The following is a 21908-nucleotide window of genomic DNA, read 5'->3' as shown; positions in this document are numbered from 1 at the left end:
GTATAGTTTCATATAGGCAGCTTTACTTTCAAGACCATAATCCTTTTAAAATTACTTTTTGTTTATGCTTTAAGGTAATGATTGAGAATCATTTTTTCCCTATGAATATAACCATGTAAATAATTTTATATGGTTAATATTCCTAAGTTTTATTCACATATTTATCAATCTTTCCTAAAATATCTTCTCTTCAGATATTTTCAGCTGCTTATTGTTTTTGCTGATTTTAATTTACTGTGTTTTGTGTTCTTTTTGTGTCCTTTTATATTTTATGGCATTTGATTTTGCACTAGTCATGTTCCTTGGAACTTTCTCTGAGCAAATTTTTTAAAGGTAGGGCTTACTTTGTTTCTGCAGGTCAATTCATCAGACCTGCAGAAAGCATCAATGAGCTTTTTCCTTCTGACTAGAGGGCATTCCTTAGATTTTCTTTTATTGATAAATGGGATTTTTATTGTCTGAAAATGTCTTTATTTTACTTTTGCCCTTGAAAAACAGTTTTTATGGAATACAATTCTGGGTTAATCGTGTTTTAGCTTATCAACTTAAAAAAATCACTTTTTCTAAATTATTGCTATTGAGAAGTTTGTTGTTCAATTATTATTTCTGTTTGGTTTCTAGTTTTTTGTTGTCTTTTTATATTGTAGATACAGGTGTAATTACTTTTTCTATTCTCTAGCTAGTATTACAGGGCTTTATGAATCTGTGAATGTCTTTAATTAATTCATTAAGAATCTCATTTCTACTTTTTTTTAAACACTGAGTAGAATTTTACATTCTCATTACCTATTTCTTGATCTTTGTTTTTTTATACCTACCGTCTTTTATAACTTTTATTTTTTTATGGAAAATTTCTTCAGAAATCTATTTTAGTTAACTGATTTTCTCTTCAACTAAGTCTATTAAGCTATAAATTTTGTCCTTGATTTTAAATATTTCAACAATTCTGATTTTCATTTCTAGATATCCTTTTGGTTTATTATAAAATTTTATTTGCTTTTCCTTATTTTTAGTTCTGTTTATACTTTCATATTTTTATTTTAATTTTTTAAAACGTATTGGCCAACATTTAAAATTTTTTTTTCTGAAAATTTTGTTACCTGAAATCTTCTCTTCAGATATTTTCAGCTGCTTATTGTTTTCGCTGATTTAATTCACTGTGTGTGTTGTTTTGGGTCTTTTTTGTGTTTTGTAGCATTTGATTTTGTACTGATTGTATTCCTTGACACTTTTTATGAACAAATTTTTAGAAGCTAGGGCTTGATTGTTTCTACAGGTTAATTTATTTCTCAAGAGTGATTAGTGGTACTACCAATCTGAAATTATTTTATATTAATTTATTTGAAGTATTTCAACTGCTCTGTGGCAATTCAGTGATTCCATCCATGTCAGCGTTTGAGGTAGTATGAATTCTCAGGGGGAATTCACCCCTTCTATTCTTTAGTGCCATAGTTGAAATAAGTGAGTTTCTGTCCTATACCTTTTGTTTAGGGATTTTTTTAAAACTATTTTACCTCTATAATGAGATGCTTTTGTCTTCCAACTTAACTAAGATGTCTTATTATACTTTCCACATTGGGTAGAGTCTAGGTTTTATATTTTGTCCTTCTTTTAGTATGTACAAACTAGTTCAGTATTCCAGGAGTTTGAGAGGAACTCATGCTGAAAAGCAACTTTGGTGCTCTTTTAATACCTTTTAAGATCTCTGCCTATTCTTTGGTTTGGAATCATAGCTTACTCTCTACTGTCAACTCAGAAAGTTTTGAAAAAGAGTACTGAAATGTTTCATTCCTTATAGTAATTTCGTTTTAAACAATGAGAATCCTGTAAATCTGCTCTATATGATAAATGGCTATGTGCTCATTTTAAATCATCTGAAGTAAAATAATTTAAATTTTTTCATATAAATTTTGGTTATCAGGATTATCAGAAAAATAATGTGTACGTTTCTACAAAATATCTGTTTAATACATAAATGCTATCCAATGTTAAAAATATAATCTGAAATCATATATATTTTTTTAAAAATAAAATCTTGGAAAATATTTAATAGTTAAAGATATATAGCAGTAACTTTATTAGAAGATTGAGTTGGAGCATATTTAAATAGTTTATTTCTCAAATTAGTAACTTTAATTAATATTTATGAATCAAAGACTAAGTAAAGTAATGCTAGCTAACAATTACTCTGTACCTTGTATTATGTTGTTACAGGATCATTGGGATGTCACCTTGCCAGCCACAAACATCTGTGGCCAGTGGCATCTTTGCCTGATTTTTGCTCTGGCCCACTGGGCTCATTTTGCCCACTCAGCCTGGCAGGCTGCATTCAGCTCCTGCTACCATCCTGGATCCCACACTTGCTAAGGCTGAGCCAGGTGCACAGCAGCAAGAGATGTGAGCAAGCGTAGGGTCCAGCCACTGTGCACAGCCAGGCACACTGGCTGTGAGAGGGTGGGCAGCTCCAGGCATGAGCATGGGTGTCAGCTCCCTGTGAGGCTGCGACTGGACCAGGTGTTCCATAAGCAGCTTCTACAGCTGACACTGGGGAATGCTGTGTGGCACCTGGAAGCTTGGAGATGCCAGGAACCACAGAACCCTAAAGAGGAAGTCACAGCCAGGCTCTGGGAGCTACTAGCTCTGGGCTACCCAAAGAGCTGCAGCTCTTCTGTCCTTCTCTCATCTCTCCTTGTTGCCCATAATGTGGTGGGCAAGAGGCATGTTTCATCCCTGTTTGTGTTATAGCTCTTTTAGCCCTGCCATTTGGCAGGTCTGGCGTTCTTATCCTGTGTCTAGGAAGAATGGGGTATGCAGACAAGTGGAGGGTGAGCAAGACAAAGAGGAGCTTTATTGAGGATAGAACAGCTCAGAGGAGACCCAGAGTGGGCAGCTCCTCTCCATAGGTAGGGTGTCCCAATAAGTGTTCAGCTCTCAGCAGAGAGGGTAGTTCTTCTCTTCAGCTGGTTGTCTCATCAGTTCTTCAGCTCTCAGAAGAGAGGGTAGCTCTTCTCTGTCAGGCTGGTCATCCCAATGAGTATCCAGCTCTCAGAAGGGAGAGTAGTTCCTCCCTGCAGCTGGCCATCTCATTATCTCCTGGAGTCTGGCTGAGTCTGGGGCTTTTATAGGCCTCAGAGGGGAGGAAATGCGTGCCAGCCTATTGATAGGCTATGGGCTGCCGGGACCGGCTTGGTCTGGGAGACCCTAATCCAGTGGCACTAGAGGAATTAAAGACACACACACAGAAATAGAGAGGTGTGGAGTGGGAAATCAGGGGGCTCACAGCCTTCAGAGCTGAGAGCCTCAAGATTTATCCACGTATTTATTGACAGCAAGCCAGCAATAAGCATTGTTTTCATAGATTATAGATTAACTAAAAGTATTCCTTATGGGAAACAAAGGGATGGGCCAAAATAAAGGGATGGGTTTTGCTAGTTATCTGCAGCAGGAGCATGTCCTTAAGGCACAGATTGCTCATGCTATTGTTTGTGGTTTAAGAATGCCTTTAAGTGGTTTTCGACCCTGGGCGGGTCAGGTGTTCCTTGCCCTCATTCTGGTAAATCCACAACCTTCCAGCGTCAGCTTCATGACCATCACGAACATGTCACAGTGCTGCATAGATTTTGTTTATGTCCAGTTTTGGGGCCAGTTTACAGCCAGATTTTGGGGGACCTGTTCTCAACAATGGGCCTGCCCGGAAAAGGCACCACAAGTTCCCACTGTGTTCTGCAGGACAGGCAGCTGGGCCCCTAGGCTTCAGGCCCTTCTCAGCTTGAAGGAAGGGCTTCACCTGGGACCCCCCCCTCCCCTTCCAGAAGCCTGTCTGCCTCCTGCCTGCTTTCATAGTGCCTAGGCTGTTTGTACCAAGGGGTGTTTGCAGGCCAGTGCTGAGCTGCCCTCAGCACCCCCTGGCCACCCTCCATGATTGTTGGTGCCCAAAATCCAGAGGGGGCCAAGGTGGCAGGGGGCTGGTGTGTCAGCCCTGCTTTGAGCATGTGCACACTCAGCTGGGTTGCGACAGGACCTGTGGGCTTGGCCTCAACTTTACTCCATGATCAGAGCAGGTGGCTACAGCAGCCAGAGGCCAGACAGTGGGAGCAGATACCTCCAAGCCTGCGAGGGCAAGACCGGGAGTTCCTGGGCCCCTGAGAGTGCAGAGATGCCTAGGTCCACAGCTGCAACTTGGACAGCTGCAGCCCCACCAAGGAGGGCAGGGGTCCTGCCTCCTCCCAGCTCCTGCCGGCTTTGTGGAGTGCAACACTGCCCTGGGCCCAGCTCTTCCCCAGGGCCCCTCTCTGCCCACCTCTTCATGCCTGACTGCACTAATCCCCTGCCTGTGGGCAACTAGGCCTGGCCCCATTGCCGTGGCTCTCTGTGTGGTGGGACAGGTGCAGGTTGCATGGCGGCCCTGTCCAACCCCTCACAAACAAACCTGACACTCCTGGGACCAGTCCTGCAAGTCCTGCCTGCATCTTCGGCCAAGTGCACGCAGGCCCCCAGGATGCAGCAGGAAGCAAGGTTGAGGCCATGGCAGAGGCTCTGGGCCTGGGAGCAGATCCTTCCCAACCATGCAAGGGTAGGGGTGGTGCAGTAGGCTTCCTCAGAAACATGGGGCACAGGAGACCCACTGCCACCACTGCTGCTTCTGCAGCCACTCCTGCTGCCTCCACTTATGCCTCCCTGCTGCAGCTAGTACGATGGCAGCAGTGGCTTCACATGGCCTGCTGCTGCCATCAATGTTAAGCATTCTACATTAATATCCTCATTTAATTATTATAATATACTTAAGAGAAACAAACCCTCCTTATCCTCATGACACAGATGAAGAAACTAAGGCTAAGAAGAGTTAACTGTGGTATGAAAGTTTATAGAGGAGTTATGTAAAAAGCTTCTAAAACTCATATCTGTTTTGCTCCATAGAGTGAAAGTTTAAATAGTACAATATGCCAACTTTGCATATAAGACACTGTGTGAAACATTAAGGGTGATATGTGTTTATATTAAGGAAACTATCACGTATTTGTTGATGATATATGTAAAATAAATATTATATTCACTGGTATATATAGGTATATATTTTACATATACTGTATGGTATATTATACATATTTATGTATAATATGTATGAGTATATGTCCATTTATATTAATATTTGTATATATGTTATATATATGTATATTTATATATTTATATATTTTTTCTAGGGCTATCATAGCAAATACCACAGACTGGGTGGCTTAAGCTATAACAATGTATTGTCTCACATTTCTGGAAGCTAGATGTCTGAGATCAACATGTTAGTAGTGTTGGTTTCCTCTGAGGCCTCTCCTCTTGGCTTGTAAATGGCCACCTTCCCTCTGTATCTTGACATGATCATCCTTCTGTATGTGTATTTGTCTCTAGTCTCCTCTTCTTATAAAGACACCAGTCACATTGGTTTAAGCCTATCCATATGATCTCAAATTTAATTTAATTTCATCTTTATAGTCTCCATCTTCACCACAGTCACACTGTGAGGTACTGGCAATTAAGACTTCAATATATGAATGTCGAGGAGACACAATTCAGTCCATAACTATATATGTGGATATATGCATACTCATAAAGTGCAATAAATAGTATCAGAATGTATAATTATAAATGATTAACACTCTGTACATGCAATTCCTTCTAAGAAGCAATGATTGATAATTTTAAACTGTGGCTTTGAAGAAGGCTTTACAGAGGAGGTAGATTGAGACTGGACATAAGAGATGTTAGTGGCTGTGATGGAAGGGAGAGACATCTGTGCTGGGAGAACTATTTAAATGCGACATTGACATGCGAAAACAGGAGCTGTATTCAGATGACAATGACAATGAATTTAGTGATTTAGCCTGAATAAAAGATTGGTTTGTGACATGACAAGAGGGAAGGGTGATTTGATACCAATTAATGGACAGCTTGAATTCCAGAATGAGAAATGTTTATGTTGTTCTGCAGGAAAAGAAAAACTTCACAGTTAAACACCAAAAAAGTTTGTTTGTTTTCTGCTGGTTTTACTGTATTCTATTCTGCATCAAAGAAAGGGCTACCCTTACTCCTTTCCTAGGCAAATCACTCCATCTGCACACTATGAGTTACATCCCTGCCTGCCACCTCTGAAAAGTTCTGACATTAGTTACATTTTCAATCTCTGAATTCTTCAATTTCTACCTTGTCTTTTTTTTTTTTTTGTCTTTTAAAAGTCAGTACATCTTCTGGGGAAAAATAAAACAGTCTCCTTTTTCTTGGCCTCAGTCGTATAATTTTCCTTGCTTATGAATACACCAAGCTCTTACTTCCCATTTTTTAGCTTCTTTTTTTCACTTCTCTTTCCTCTGCAAGCGACTAATATTCACTCTATGAATATTAACCTTACCAGGGTCCCCAATTTTCAAATTCCGTAACATCTTTTCAGACCTCATGCGGCTCAGTCTACCATCATCATTCAACACAGTTGACAGATATAAGGAAATGCATGGATTTTATAATTAAGCACAGAATACTTAATGATCTTGATCAATTTTTATAACCTCTAAGAGCCTAAATATAGTAGTGATATCTAAATAGGGCTATTGAGAAAATAAAATGAAGAAATTTATGAAAGGTTTATCACAGTGTGTGATTCAGAATACACATTAAATAAGCAGTAGCTAATATTATCTTAACAGAATTATCACTTCCCGCTGTCTCTAATTTGGGTCTTTTAATGCTTCATTTTAGCTTCAAATTCCTGATATAAGAGCCTCTTCCTACCCTATGCTAATAATTATTAGTAACTTGAGTGTAGAGGAGAAAGATCCCTCATAAGGTTATAAAGTTATGTGGAATGCTAAGACATGAAGAGCAAAGCGGTATTATTATATATATATTTTTTAACCCCACCAAGAAACTGCCATTGTAAGTTGTGTAGGGGCTGCTGTGCTGGGTCTGTTCATGAGTTACAAGTCAGTCATTTAAAGTCTTGTACCACAAGGACTATTTCTTCCAAGCTACTGTCTCTAACACTCTGTAGGCAAGAACTCCTAAATATGGGACCCAGTATTTATATGTTAGTCATAGGATCTTTTCCATATGTCCCATCTCTTTTTTCTTCCCTGGTAAAAATCCCTTCCTCTTTATGTCCTCACTCAAGAGCTCTCATTTAATTGTTTTAATCTATAAATTGGAGCCTGGTTAACCATTCAAAAGAGATGGTAAGATAGATGGTAATCTACCATAAAGTTTAAATGAAATTTCTTCTTCCTCCCTAACATACTCTTAGCCTAATCACATTTAACACACACATTGTTTAAGGGCTCAGGCCTTCTCTTGCTCTATGTGCTTACCATCCTGCTGTCCAAGGACATTTGTTATATTGAATGATCTGACTTCTCTCATCTTTCATATCTCAGCTTCCTTGTCAACACTTTCTATAACTTCTTTATCAAAGAAAATTTCTTATATTATTTGTTATGTAAATAACCTTTTGTGGAACTTACCACAATTGCAATTTTATTCCTATTTCTGTGATTAGTATTCCCTAAGTTTTATAAAAACAGGGCCTTTGTTCAGTTTAGCCAGTCTCATATCCAAAACCTAAGATGTAGCCTTCCACAATAAAGTGATTCTAAATGAAAAAATGAGCTCTAGTTCTTAACAACAAAAGAACTCTTTATCCTACTCAGAAGAGAGTTTTGTCTTTTGAAACACAATGAATGCTCCACCCTCCTAGAGAGCAGTTGAAATGATTTCATTCTCTCCTTGAGTTATCTGAAGGATCCAAATCTCTACTCTTATGAACAGATCTAATGGCTACTTTCTAAAACAGAAACATTAAATAAAATGCCCTCTGTTTGCTTCTCTCTCTCTGTCACTCTCTCTCTCTCTTTTTTATTTTTATGATTTGGTATACAATTAAATAAATAATATATTGACATGAAAGTTTCTTTCTTTATGTTCTTTAACACTTGCTCCTAGTATTCTTCCCGCTTCATTAATTGCTCTATGCCAAACTATGTAACTGAATTTTAAACAAAATTATTAGTATTGCTCTTTTAAATGCTAATATAATCACATTTTTCTGCTGAGTCTTTCTGTGGTTTCAGTTATGTTTATAATTATATGTATTCATGTTTACATGAATGAATATTAATTTTCTAACAAATATATAGTTAGAGAAAACATATGTACATGCACACACACACAATTCAGTTATCAAATAGAATGTGTGGACAGAATTTCCTTTTTTTAGAGGAAAATAAAAAGCATTTGCCGTGATTATATTTAGAAATTGCAATTAAGCAGTGGTTTGCCAGCACAGTACCTTCTTCTTAGTAGTTTTGGTGTCAGTATCACTGGAGGAATGTAAAATGGGTGAAGACTGAAAATTTCAGTACCAGGGGAAGGGAATAGGTAATGCAGTCGACACAAGCCCAGCTCAATAAATATGTTTTGACCAGCATTGAAAAAGATTTAGTGTTTGCAATTTCTCAACATAATAATCCATCTCTCATAATAAGCCATATTGTAACAGATGAATACATTGGATTGTAAACCCTACAAATATGGTCCTAACTCTCAACTCTGATTTAATTTTAGACGTAGGCATCTGGCAACCTTATACACTTTCTATAGGCTTGGGATCTGTAAGCAACTTGAGATTAATAACATGAACCCATAAACTCCAGAAAATGTACCAAGATATATCTTTCCACTCTTACATCTGGCAGTGAGATAAATGATTCCCATGTGTTCTCCTTATGTCTACCATGGCAAAACAAAACATACAAAGATAAATATTTTATCAATGCTACATTTCAAGTGGTGGAAGCCTGATGGAAAATGTTCTAGGAGAACAGGAATGCTGATGATAGCTAGAAAAACCCATAAAAGATAGAAAAATTATGGGTCCCCTCTTAACCAGCTTTGTATATTTCTCTATACTCTAACTAAAACAGCATTTTCAAAATTTACATTTTCCATGTCAAACATCCACTATTAATAAAAACAAAAACCAACTTCTAGTAGTTTCCCATTGCTCTTTGCATAACATATGCTGTCTTTAACTTGGTCAATACACCGTTGCATGATTTCATCTCCTTGCCTTTCTCTCCAGTTCTATCTCCCAGGTTTCTGATTGGTATTTCATTTGATATTCCATTCCAACTGGCCTCTTCAAAGGATTTTTGAATGTGCTATTCTTGCTCTTTGTTTTGCCCGTCACTGCATCCACTTAGGTAACACTTATATATTATTTATATTTCAGAATAGAAGAAATTTTTCAAGATAAACCTATGCATGCTTCTCTGTTTTATACTTTTACCTGATTATATCTTAGTATTATTTCTGTTTGTGAGTGTATTATTATTTTAGCTATGATTTATTTAATATGAGTGTTTGACACTGGATGCAATAATTAGTAGGAAGAGTCATTATTTTTTTTATTGCTCTATTGCCAGCACCAGTCACTTTCAATTGATCAATAAATGTTTATTCACTGAATGAATGAGCTTTAGCTGTGATGCTTAATTCGGAAAACACGGGAGAAAATAATATTTGCCAAGAAACTTTTATTTAAGGTTTCTGTGTCTTATGCTGAAGAAAATATATTATTATTTATTTATTTTTAATTAACCCTAATAAAGATTTTATATTTTTGAATGAAATTAAGATTCTGAATCCTGTGGTGTTACTCATTATTTTCTGGTGTGCAAAAAGTAACATTAAAAAATAGTATCAATATAAGTCCTCAATTACAAATTATTTAAAAGCTGTATTTTTAGAGCTACAGCTGTTATATTCCTGTAGTTTTAAGGCCAACTCTATAAGTTAATTATATGACAAATACTAAAAAGCAATAGAATCTGGTTTTATAGATAATAGATAAAACTGAAGTGATTTTGTTTTAAGAAATGCAATTCTTTCGTGTCATAACATGTCCATGAGTGTAATGAGATTTATTTTCCCCTCTCATTCTATTATAGTATAGTCCTCAGCTAAAGAAACGAAGTTTCTTATGTTTCATTAGTCCCATTAGTACTGGGATAAAAGGTGCTTTCAGTCAGAATGCAAATAATTGCCAACTGCACTTGGTTGATGCCATGACAGTACTTCCCAGCAGTATCACCTCATAGAAGCTCATTTTTGAAGTGACACTAATATCAATGTATTTCATAAAATTTAATAAGATTTAACATATAGTTATTTTGAAACACACATATCACCTATAAGGAAAGGAGAGTTTGACATAGCTTATTTTATTTTATCAGGCATAATTTATCATTACATTACCAAATTGTTGTCTATTTTGAAAATTAAGCATGTTTAAGCTCTTCCCATGTATGATTGTATACAATGGAAAATAAAAAATTTAATAGCAAAAAATTTACCCTTTTGAAGTTATGTGTTTCAAAACAGCTTTAGATATATCAAATGTAGTGTCATATTTAAACTTGTTACTGCTAGACCATGTGTAATGAAGAGGCCAAGGTAATATGTAATAACAACTCAAAATGACCTTAATACTAAACTTATTGGAAAATTTATTGCAAATTCATTTATACATGAGTAATCAATAACACACCCTTAAAATGACTAAAATCTTGATGAATTACCGGATTTTGGTTAGAGCAGTAGCATTTTGTCCCACCAGAGGAACATTTTATTAAAATATTAAACAGCACTTTTTATGGTTTGCTTTAAAGATATTAAGAATATAAAGAAGGCTATCAAACAAGCCTGGAAATTAAGAATGGAAATAAACTGATTAGGCTCTCCTACTGCCCATCTCTCTCAATCACTAGTTGGCATCCAAATGAACATGTGTTGACACAAATTTTAAAAATCCAACTAAATCTAGGAGATATAGTGCGATTCTAATTATTCCACAAAGTATCATTAAGACAAAAGGTCTTATAATCATTGTTTTTTTTTTGTCTTTTACTCAAATAACTGCATCTAGGAGATATACCCTTATCACTTATCCATTTATGTAGCAGCACTCAATAGTTTGATTGATGAGTAGATTAATTTACAATAGACAACAATACTCCTACATATACCAAAACAAATTTCCAACAAAAGTGTATCATTTTCAAGTGGGAATAATTATTTTAAAAGACTAAATACCAAATTTATTACAAATAAGCAAATTTGGCCATATTGTTTCTAGTCAAAGATGCTATAAAGAAATTTCAAATCTGGTGATTAAGCCCTCTGATTCACTAAACTTAGGATGCTGAAGCACAAAAATCATCATTATCTGAAACTCATATTTACAAAATTTCATCACTTTACTGAGAGAATTGTATTTTTTGGTCCTTCTTTCTGTTGGTTTGATGTTTCACAGTTATTAATTTGTGTATGTTGACCCATCCTTGCATCACTGAATTTGGTTTGCTGGTATTTTCTTGAGAATTTCTACATTTATGTTTATCAGGAATATTTGCCTATAGTTTTCTATTTTGTTGTGTCCTTGTCTAATACCTTACGATAAGGGTGATGCTGACCTCTTACAATGAGTGTGGGAGTACCTTCTCCTTTTCAATTTTCAAATAATTGGTATTAATTGTTCTTTAAAAGCTTGGTAGAATTCAGCAGGGAAACCATCAGTTCCTGGGCTATTTTCTTGTTGGGACACTTTATATTACTGATTCCATCTTGTTTCTTATAATTGCCCTGTTCAGGTTTTCCATTCCTTCTTGGTTTAATCTTGGTAGGTCGTATGTGTCCAGGATTTTTTTCATTTCCTCTAGGCGTTCCAATTTCAGTTTGTGTGTGGGGTATAGATGTTCATAATTGTTTTTAATGAGTCTTAATATTTCCATGGTGCCATTTGCAATGTATTTTTTTTCATTTCTCATTTTACTTATTTGGGTCTTTTCATTTTTTTCTTGTTATTTTTCCTAATTGTTTGGTGATTTGGTTTATCTTTTCAAAAATCCAATGTTTTTATCTTGTTGATGTTTGTCTTTTTTTTTTTCTTTTTTTTGGTCCCAGTTTCACATATTTCTCTCTGGTCAGGTCTTTATTACTTGTTCCTTTTACTAATTTTGGGTTTGGTTTGTTTTTTCTGTCTTAGTGCCTTGAAATACATCATTAGGTTGATTTAAATTTTTCTAATTTTTTGATGTAGGTTATATGGTTTGGTTCTGTGCTCCCACCCAAATCTCATGTTGAATTTTGATCCTGAGTGTTGGAGGTGGGGCCTGGTGGGAGGTGATTGGATCATGGGGGTGATTTCTAATGGTTTTGCACCATCCCCCTAGTGCTGTCTCATGATAGATTTCTCATGAGATCTGGTTGTTTGAAAGTGTGTAGCACTTCCCCCCTTGCACTCTCTCTCTCTCTCTCTCCCCTTCTCCACTATATGAAGATTGTAACTGCTTCCCCTTTGCCTTCCGCCATGACTTTAAATTTCCTGAGGTCTCTCGAGCCATGCCTCTTGGACAGCGTGTGGAAATGTGAGGCAATTAAACATCTTTTCTCCCATAAAGTACCCAGTCTCTGGTATGTCTTTTTTTTCTTTCTTTCTTTTTTTTTTTTTGCTTTTCTTTCTTTTTTTTTTTTTGCTTTTCTTTTTTTTTATTATACTTTAAGTTTTAGGGTACATGTGCACATTGTGCAGGTTAGTTACATATGTATACATGTGCCATGCTGGTGCGCTGCACCCACTAACTCGTCATCTAGCCTTAGGTATATCTCCCAATGCTATCCCTCCCCGCTCCCCCCACCCCACCACAGTCCCCAGAGTGTGATATTCCCCTTCATGTGTCCATGTGACCTCATTGTTCGATTCCCAGCTATGAACGAGAATATGCGGTGTTTGGTTTATTGTTCTTGCGATAGTTTACTGAGAATGATGATATCCAATTTCATCCATCTCCCTACAAAGGACATGAACTCATCCTTTTTTATGGCTGCATAGTATTCCATGGTGTATATGTGCCACATTTTCTTAATCCAGTCTATCATTGTTGGACATTTGGGTTGGTTCCAAGTCTTTGCTATTGTGAATAATGCCGCAATAAACATACGTGTGCATGTGTCTTTATAGCAGCATGATTTATAGTCATTTGGGTATATACCCAGTAATGGGATGGCTGGGTCAAATGGTATTTCTAGTTCTAGATCCCTGAGGAATGGCCACACTGACTTCCACAATGGTTGAACTAGTTTACAGTCCCACCAACAGTGTAAAAGTGTTCCTATTTCTCCACATCCTCTCCAGCACCTGTTGTTTCCTGACTTTTTAATGATTGCCATTCTAACTGGTGTGAGATGATATCTCATAGTGGTTTTGATTTGCATTTCTCTGATGGCCAGTGATGATGAGCATTTTTTCATGTGTTTTTTGGCTGCATAAATGTCTTCTTTTGAGAAGTGTCTGTTCATGTCCTTCGCCCACTTTTTGATGGGGTTGTTTGTTTTTTTCTTGTAAATTTGTTGGAGTTCATTGTAGATTCTGGATATTAGCCCTTTGTCAGATGAGTAGGTTGCGAAAATTTTCTCCCATGTTGTAGGTTGCCTGTTCACTCTGATGGTAGTTTCTTTTGCTGTGCAGAAGCTCTTTAGTTTAATGAGATCCCATTTGTCAATTTTGGCTTTTGTTGCCATTGCTTTTGGTGTTTTGGACATGAAGTCCTTGCCCATGCCTATGTCCTGAATGATAATGCCTAGGTTTTCTTCTAGGGTTTTTATGGTTTTAGGTCTAACGTTTAAATCTTTAATCCATCTTGAATTGATTTTTGTATAAGGTGTAAGGAAGGGATCCAGTTTCAGCTTTCTACATATGGCTAGCCAGTTTTCCCAGCACCATTTATTAAATAGGGAATCCTTTCCCCATTGCTTGTTTTTCTCAGGTTCGTCAAAGATCAGATAGTTGTAGGTATGCGGCGTTATTTCTGAGGGCTCTGTTCTGTTCCATTGATCTATATCTCTGTTTTGGTACCAGTACCATGCTGTTTTGGTTACTGTAGCCTTGTAGTATAGTTTGAAGTCAGGTAGTGTGATGCCTCCAGCTTTGTTCTTTTGGCTTAGGATTGACTTGGTGATGCGGGCTCTTTTTTGGTTCCATATGAACTTTAAAGTAGTTTTTTCCAATTCTGTGAAGAAAGTCATTGGTAGCTTGATGGGGATGGCATTGAATCTGTAAATTACCTTGGGCAGTATGGCCATTTTCACGATATTGATTCTTCCTACCCATGAGCATGGAATGTTCTTCCATTTGTTTGTATCCTCTTTTATTTCCTTGAGCAGTGGTTTGTAGTTCTCCTTGAAGAGGTCCTTCACATCCCTTGTAAGTTGGATTCCTAGGTATTTTATTCTCTTTGAAGCAATTGTGAATGGGAGTTCACTCCTGATTTGGCTCTCTGTTTGTCTGTTGTTGGTGTATAAGAATGCTTGTGATTTTTGTACATTGATTTTGTATCCTGAGACTTTGCTGAAGTTGCTTATCAGCTTAAGGAGATTTTGGGCTGAGACGATGGGGTTTTCTAGATAAACAATCATGTCGTCTGCAAACAGGGACAATTTGACTTCCTCTTTTCCTAATTGAATACCCTTTATTTCCTTCTCCTGCCTGATTGCCCTGGCCAGAACTTCCAACACTATGTTGAATAGGAGCAGTGAGAGAGGGCATCCCTGTCTTGTGCCACTTTTCAAAGGGAATGCTTCCAGTTTTTGCCCATTCAGTATGATATTGGCTGTGGGTCTGTCATAGACAGCTCTTATTATTTTGAAATACGTCCCATCAATACCTAATTTATTGAGAGTTTTTAGCATGAAGGGTTGTTGAATTTTGTCAAAGGCTTTTTCTGCATCTATTGAGATAATCATGTGGTTTTTGTCTTTGGCTCTGTTTATATGCTGGATTACATTTATTGATTTGTGTATATTGAACCAGCCTTGCATCCCAGGGATGAAGCCCACTTGATCATGGTGGATAAGCTTTTTGATGTGCTGCTGGATTCGGTTTGCCAGTATTTTATTGAGGATTTTTGCATCAATGTTCATCAAGGATATTGGTCTAAAATTCTCTTTTTTGGTTGTGTCTCTGCCCGGCTTTGGTATCAGAATGATGCTGGCCTCATAAAATGAGTTAGGGAGGGTTCCCTCTTTTTCTATTGATTGGAATAGTTTCAGAAGGAATGGTAACAGTTCCTCCTTGTACCTCTGGTAGAATTCGGCTGTGAATCCATCTGGTCCTGGACTCTTTTTGGTTGGTAAACTATTGATTATTGCCACAATTTCAGCTCCTGTTATTGGTCTATTCAGAGATTCAACTTCTTCCTGGTTTAGTCTTGGGTGAGTGTATGTGTCGAGGAACGTATCCATTTCTTCTAGATTTTCTAGTTTATTTGCGTAGAGGTGTTTGTAGTATTCTCTGATGGTAGTTTGTATTTCTGTGGGATCAGTGGTGATATCCCCTTTATCATTTTTTATTGTGTCTATTTGATTCTTCTCTCTTTTTTTCTTTATTAGTCTTGCTAGCGGTCTATCAATTTTGTTGATCCTTTCAAAAAACCAGCTCCTGGATTCATTGATTTTTTGAAGGGTTTTTTGTGTCTCTATTTCCTTCAGTTCTGCTCTGATCTTAGTTATTTCTTGCCTTCTGCTAGCTTTTGAACTAGCTCTTGCTTTTCTAGTTCTTTTAATTGTGATGTTAGGGTGTCAATTTTGGATCTTTCCTGCTTTCTCTTGTGGGCATTTAGTGCTATAAATTTCCCTCTACACACTGCTTTGAATGCATCCCAGAGATTCTGGTATGTTGTGTCTTTGTTCTCGTTGGTTTCAAAGAACATCTTTATTTCTGCCTTCATTTCCTTATGTACCCAGTAGTCATTCAGGAGCAGGTTGTTCAGTTTCCATGTAGTTGAGCGGCTTTGAGTGAGATTCTTAACCCTGAGTTCTAGTTTGATTGCACTGTGGTCTGAGGGATAGTTTGTTATAATTTCTGTTCTTTTACATTTGCTGAGGAGAGCTTTACTTCCAACTATGTGGTCAATTTTGGAATAGGTGTGGTGTGGTGCTGAAAAAAATGTATATTCTGTTGATTTGGGGTGGAGAGTTCTGTAGATGTCTATTAGGTCCGCTTGGTACAGAGCTGAGTTCAATTCCTGGGTATCCTTGTTGACTTTCTGTCTCGTTGATCTGTCTAATGTTGACAGTGGGGTGTTAAAGTCTCTCATTATTAATGTGTGGGAGTCTAAGTCTCTTTGGAGGTCACTCAGGACTTGCTTTATGAATCTGGGTGCTCCTGTATTGGGTGCATATATATTTAGGATAGTTAGCTCCTCTTGTTGAATTGATCCCTTTACCATTATGTAATGGCCTTCTTTGTCTCTTTTGATCTTTGTTGGTTTGAAGTCTGTTTTATCAGAGACTAGGATTGCAACCCCTGCCTTTTTTTGTTTTCCATTTGCTTGGTAGATCTTCCTTCATCCTTTTATTTTGAGCCTATGTGTGTCTCCGCACGTGAGATGGGTTTCCTGAATACAGCACACTGATGGGTCTTGACTCTTTATCCAACTTGCCAGTCTGTGTCTTTTAATTGGAGCATTTAGTCCATTTACATTTAAAGTTAATATTGTTATGTGTGAATTTGATCCTGTCATTATGATGTTAGCTGGTGATTTTGCTCGTTAGTTGATGCAGTTTCTTCCTAGTCTCGATGGTCTTTACATTTTGGCATGATTTTGCAGCGGCTGGTACCGGTTGTTCCTTTCCATGTTTAGCGCTTCCTTCAGGAGCTCTTTTAGGGCAGGCCTGGTGGTGACAAAATTTCTCAGCATTTGCTTGTCTGTAAAGTATTTTATTTCTCCTTCACTTATGAAGCTTAGTTTGGCTGGATATGAAATTCTGGGTTGAAAATTCTTTTCTTTAAGAATGTTGAATATTGGCCCCCACTCTCTTCTGGCTTGTAGGGTTTCTGCTGAGAGATCCGCTGTTAGTGTGATGGGCTTCCCTTTGAGGGTAACCCGACCTTTCTCTCTGGCTGCCCTTAACATTTTTTCCTTCATTTCAACTTTGGTGAATCTGACAATTATGTGTCTTGGAGTTGCTCTTCTCAAGGAGTATCTTTGTGGCGTTCTCTGTATTTCCTGAATCTGAACGTTGGCCTGCCTTGCTAGATTGGGGAAGTTCTCCTGGATAATATCCTGTAGAGTGTTTTCCAACTTGGTTCCATTCTCCGCATCACTTTCAGGTACACCAATCAGACGTAGATTTGGTCTTTTCACATAGTCCCATATTTCTTGGAGGCTTTGCTCATTTCTTTTTATTCTTTTTCTCTAACCTTCCCTTCTCACTTCATTTCATTCATTTCATCTTCCATTGCTGATACCCTTTCTTCCAGTTGATCGCATTGGCTCCTGAGGCTTCTGCATTCTTCACGTAGTTCTCGAGCCTTGGTTTTCAGCTCCATCAGCTCCTTTAAGCACTTCTCTGTATTGGTTATTCTAGTTATACATTCTTCTAAATTTTTTTCAAAGTTTTCAACTTCTTTGCCTTTGGTTTGAATGTCCTCCCGTAGCTCAGAGTAATTTGATCGTCTGAAGCCTTCTTCTCTCAGCTCGTCAAAGTCATTCTCCATCCAGCTTTGTTCCGTTGCTGGTGAGGAACTGCGTTCCTTTGGAGGAGGAGAGGCGCTCTGCGTTTTAGAGTTTCCAGTTTTTCTGTTCTGTTTTTTCCCCATCTTTGTGGTTTTATCTACTTTTGGTCTTGATGATGGTGATGTACAGATGGGTTTTTGGTGTGGATGTCCTTTCTGTTTGTTAGTTTTCCTTCTAACAGACAGGACCCTCAGCTGCAGGTCTGTTGGAATACCCTGCCGTGTGAGGTGTCAGTGTGCCCCTGCTGGGGGGTGCCTCCCAGTTAGGCTGCTCGGGGGTCAGGGGTCAGGGACCCACTTGAGGAGGCAGTCTGCCCGTTCTCAGATCTCCAGCTGTGTGCTGGGAGAACCACTGCTCTCTTCAAAGCTGTCCGACAGGGACATTTAAGTCTGCAGAGGTTTCTGCTGTCTTTTTGTTTGTCTGTGCCCTGCCCCCAGAGGTGGAGCCTACAGAGGCAGGCAGGCCTCCTTGAGCTGTGGTGGGCTCCACCCAGTTGGAGCTTCCCGGCTGCTTTGTTTACCTAAGCAAGCCTGGGCAATGGCGGGCGCCCCTCCCCCAGCCTCGCTGCCGCCTTGCAGTTTGATCTCAGACTGCTGTGCTAGCAATCAGCGAGATTCTGTGGGGTAGGACCCTCCAAGCCAGGTGAGGGATATAATCTCGTGGTGCGCCGTTTTTTAAGCCGGTCTGAAAAGCGCAATATTCAGGTGGGAGTGACCCGATTTTCCAGGTGCGTCCGTCACCCCTTTCTTTGACTTGGAAAGGGAACTCCCTGACCCCTTGCGCTTCCCAGGTGAGGCAATGCCTCGCCCTGCTTCGGCTCGCGCCCGGTGCGCGCACCCACTGGCCTGCGCCCACTGTCTGGCACTCCCTAGTGAGATGAACCCGGTACCTCAGATGGAAATGCAGAAATCACCCGTCTTCTGCGTCGCTCACGCTGGGAGCTGTAGACCGGAGCTGTTCCTATTCGGCCATCTTGGCTCCTCCTCCTCTGGTATGTCTTTATAGCAGTATGAGAATGGACTAATACAGAAAATTGGTACCAGAGTAGAGTGGCATTTCTATAAAGATACCTGAACTGTGAAAGTGATTTTGGATCTGAATAATGGGCAGAGGTTGGGACAGTTTGGAGGGATGAGAGGCAGACAGAAAGATGAGGGAAAGTTTGAAACTTCCTAGAGGCTGAGTGTGGTGGCTCATGCCTGTAATCCCAGTACTTTGGGAGGCCAAGGGGGATGGATCCCTTGAGGTCAGTAGTTCAAGACCAGCCTGGTCAACATGGCAAAACCCCGTCTCTACTAAAAACATGGAAATTAGCTGGGCCTGGTGACGCATGCCTTAATCCTCGCTACTTGGGAGGCTGAGGTATGAGAATCGCTGTGAGCCAAGATTGTGCCACTGCACTCCAGCCTGGGTGACAGAGTGAGACTCTGTCTCAAAAAAATAAATAAATAAATAAGAAAGAAAAAGAAAAAAAACCCGCCTTCCTAGAGACTTATTGAATGGTTGTGATTGAAATGCTGATAGTGACATACACAGTGAAGTCCAAGCTGAGGTGGTCAGGTGGAGATGAGGAACTTATTGGGAACTGCAGTAAAGGGAGTAAAGGTCACTCTTGCTAGGCTTTAGCAAAGAGACTGGTGCCATTGTGCCACTGCTCTAGAGATGTGTAGAACTTTGAACTTGAGAGAGATGATTTAGGGTACCTGGTAGAAGAGATTTCTGAGCAGCAAAAGAGTTCAAGAGGTAGCCCAGCTGCTTCTAAAAGCCTACAATCATTTGCATAACCAAATAATTGAGCTGAAACGAGAACTTATATTTAAAAGAGAAGTAGAGCATAAACGTTTGGAAAATTTGCTGCCCAACTACGCAGAAAAGAAAAACCCATTTTCTGGAGAGGAATTCAAGGCTGCAGAAATTTGCATAAGTAAAGAAGAGATGAATGTTAATAGCCTACACAATAGGAAAAATGTCTCCAGGGTACGTCAGAGGTCTTCACAGCAGCCCCTCCCATCATCAGCCTGGAGGTCTAGGAGGGAAAAATGGTTTCCTGGGCTAAGCACAGGGCCTCACTGCTCTGAGCAGCCTTGAGACATGGTGCTCTGTGTCCCAGCTGCTCCGGCTCCAGCTGTGGCTAAAAGGGTTCAAGGTACAGCTTGGGCCATTGTTTCAGAGGATGCAAGCCCCAAGCCTTGCTGGCTTCCATGTGGTGTTGGGCCTGTGGGTGCACAGAAGGCAAGAGTTGAGGTTTGAGAGCCTCCTCCTAGATTTCAGATAAGGTATAGAAATGGCTGGGTGCCTAGGCAGAAGTCTGCTGCAGGGGTGGAGCCCTCATGGAGAACCTTCACCAGGGCAGTGCAGAGGGGAAATGTGGACTTGGAGCCCCCATGCAAAATCCCCACTGGGGCACTAACCTAATGGAGCAGTAAGGAGAGAGCCACCCTCCTCTAGACCCCAGAATTGTAGATCCACTGACAGCTTGCACCATGGTCCTGGAAAATTCATAGCACTCAATGTCAGCCTTTAAAAGCAGTCACAGAGGCTGTACCCTGAAGAGCCTCAGGGCCACCCTGCCCAAGGCTGTGGAGGCTCATCCCTTGCCTCAGTGTGGCCTAGATGCAAGACATGGAGTCAAAAGAAGTTATTTTGGAGCTTTGAGATTTAATAACTGCCCTGCTGGGTTTTGAACTTGCATGAGGCCTGTAGCTCCTTTCTTTTGGCCAATTTCTCCCTTTTGGAATGGGAACATTTACCTAATGCCTGTATCCCCATTGTATCTTGGTAGTATTTAACTTGTTTTTGATTTTACACACTCATAGGCAGAAGGGACTTGCTTTGTCTCAGGTGAGACTTTAAACTTAGACTTTTGAGTTAATACTGGAATGAGTTAAGACTTTCAGGGACTGTTGGGAAGGCATGATTGTGTTTTGAAATGTGAGAACAGGAGGGGCCAGGGGTGGAATAATATGGTTTGGCACTGTGTCTCCACCCAGATCTCATGTTGAATTGTGATTCTGAGTGTTGGAGTTGGAGCCTGGTGGGATGTGATTGAATCATGGGGGGTGGTTTCTAATGGTTTTACACCATCCCTCTAGTGCCATCTCATGATAGAGTTACATTTGGTCATTTGAAAGTTTGTAGAACCTCCCCCCCTTTCTCTCTCTTCTGCTCTGCCATGTGAATAAGGTGATTGCTTCCTCTTTGCCCTTCTGCTTTGATTGTAAGTTTCCTGAGGCCTCCCCAATCATGCTTCCTGTACAGCCTGAAGAAATGTGGGTCAATTAAACCTCTTTTCTCCATAAATTACCCAGTTGCAGTTCTTTACAGCAATGTGAGAGTGGGCTAATATGTTTAGAGTAAGAAATAATTCTTAATTCTTTATTTGTCATTTATTATTCAGGGACACATTTAATTTTCATGCACTTGCACATTTTTGAATGTTCCTTTTTATTATTAATTTCTAGTTTTATTTCACTGTGGTGAGAAAAAGATACTTGATAATATTTTGATTTCTAAAAATTTCTTGAAGCTTTTTTTTGTGGCCTAGCATATGGTATGTCCTGAAGAAGGTTCCATGCCTCAATGTGAAGAATGTGTTGTGTTCTGTTGCTGGATAAAATGTTCTGTAAATGTCTGTTAGATCTATTAGGTTGAAAGTACAGTTTAAATCCAGTGATTTTTTTTAATTTTTATTTATTTATTTATTTATTTTTATTTTTATTTTTTTTTTGAGATGGAGTCTTGCTCTGTAGCTCAGGCTGGAGTGCCATGGTATGATCTTTGCTTGCCGCAATCTCTGTCTCCCAGATTCAAGCAAATCTCCTGCCTCAGCCTCCATAGTAGCTGGGATTATAGGCACGTGCCACCACACCTGGTTAATTTTTGTATTTTTAGTAGAGATGTAGAGATGGGGTTTCACCACGTTGGCCAAGCTGGTCTTGAACTCCTGACCTGAAGTGATCCACTTGGCCTCCCAAAGTGCTAGAATTACAGGCATGAGCCACTGTGCCTGGCCTTGATTTATTTTTATTTTTATTTTCTTTCTAGATAATTTAGCCATTGCTGAGAGTGGGGTGTTAAAATCACTATTATCGTATTGGAGTTTATCTCTCCAATTATATGAAATAATATTTGCTTTATATATGTGGGTGTTCTGGTGTTGGGTGTATTTGTATTTATAATTGTTATATCTTCCTGATGAATTGATTCTTTTATCAGTATATAGTGAGTAACCTTTTTGTCTCTTCTTCAGTTTTGATCTAAAGTCTGGTTTAATTTATGTTAGTACAGCTACTCCTGCTT

The 21908-nt window shown here is 39.0% G+C and overlaps 3 annotated features.

The window, feature by feature from the left end:
* Positions 3853-4353: an enhancer, noted in NCBI's record as "H3K4me1 hESC enhancer chr4:133879807-133880307 (GRCh37/hg19 assembly coordinates)". NCBI's record gives its function as "activates a minimal SCP1, AML or CMV promoter by ChIP-STARR-seq in naive H9 embryonic stem cells {active_cell/tissue: H9 hESC(naive)}" and the evidence as "EXISTENCE:reporter gene assay evidence [ECO:0000049][PMID:30033119]".
* Positions 17914-18413: an enhancer, noted in NCBI's record as "H3K27ac hESC enhancer chr4:133865747-133866246 (GRCh37/hg19 assembly coordinates)". NCBI's record gives its function as "activates a minimal SCP1, AML or CMV promoter by ChIP-STARR-seq in primed H9 embryonic stem cells {active_cell/tissue: H9 hESC(primed)}" and the evidence as "EXISTENCE:reporter gene assay evidence [ECO:0000049][PMID:30033119]".
* Positions 18414-18915: an enhancer, noted in NCBI's record as "H3K27ac hESC enhancer chr4:133865245-133865746 (GRCh37/hg19 assembly coordinates)". NCBI's record gives its function as "activates a minimal SCP1, AML or CMV promoter by ChIP-STARR-seq in naive H9 embryonic stem cells {active_cell/tissue: H9 hESC(naive)}" and the evidence as "EXISTENCE:reporter gene assay evidence [ECO:0000049][PMID:30033119]".

Source organism: Homo sapiens, chromosome 4 (assembly GCF_000001405.40).
Source record: "Homo sapiens chromosome 4, GRCh38.p14 Primary Assembly".
NCBI lineage: Eukaryota > Metazoa > Chordata > Mammalia > Primates > Hominidae > Homo > Homo sapiens.
Note: the sequence above shows the minus strand (reverse complement) of the source record. Positions and strands in the feature narration are given on the sequence as shown.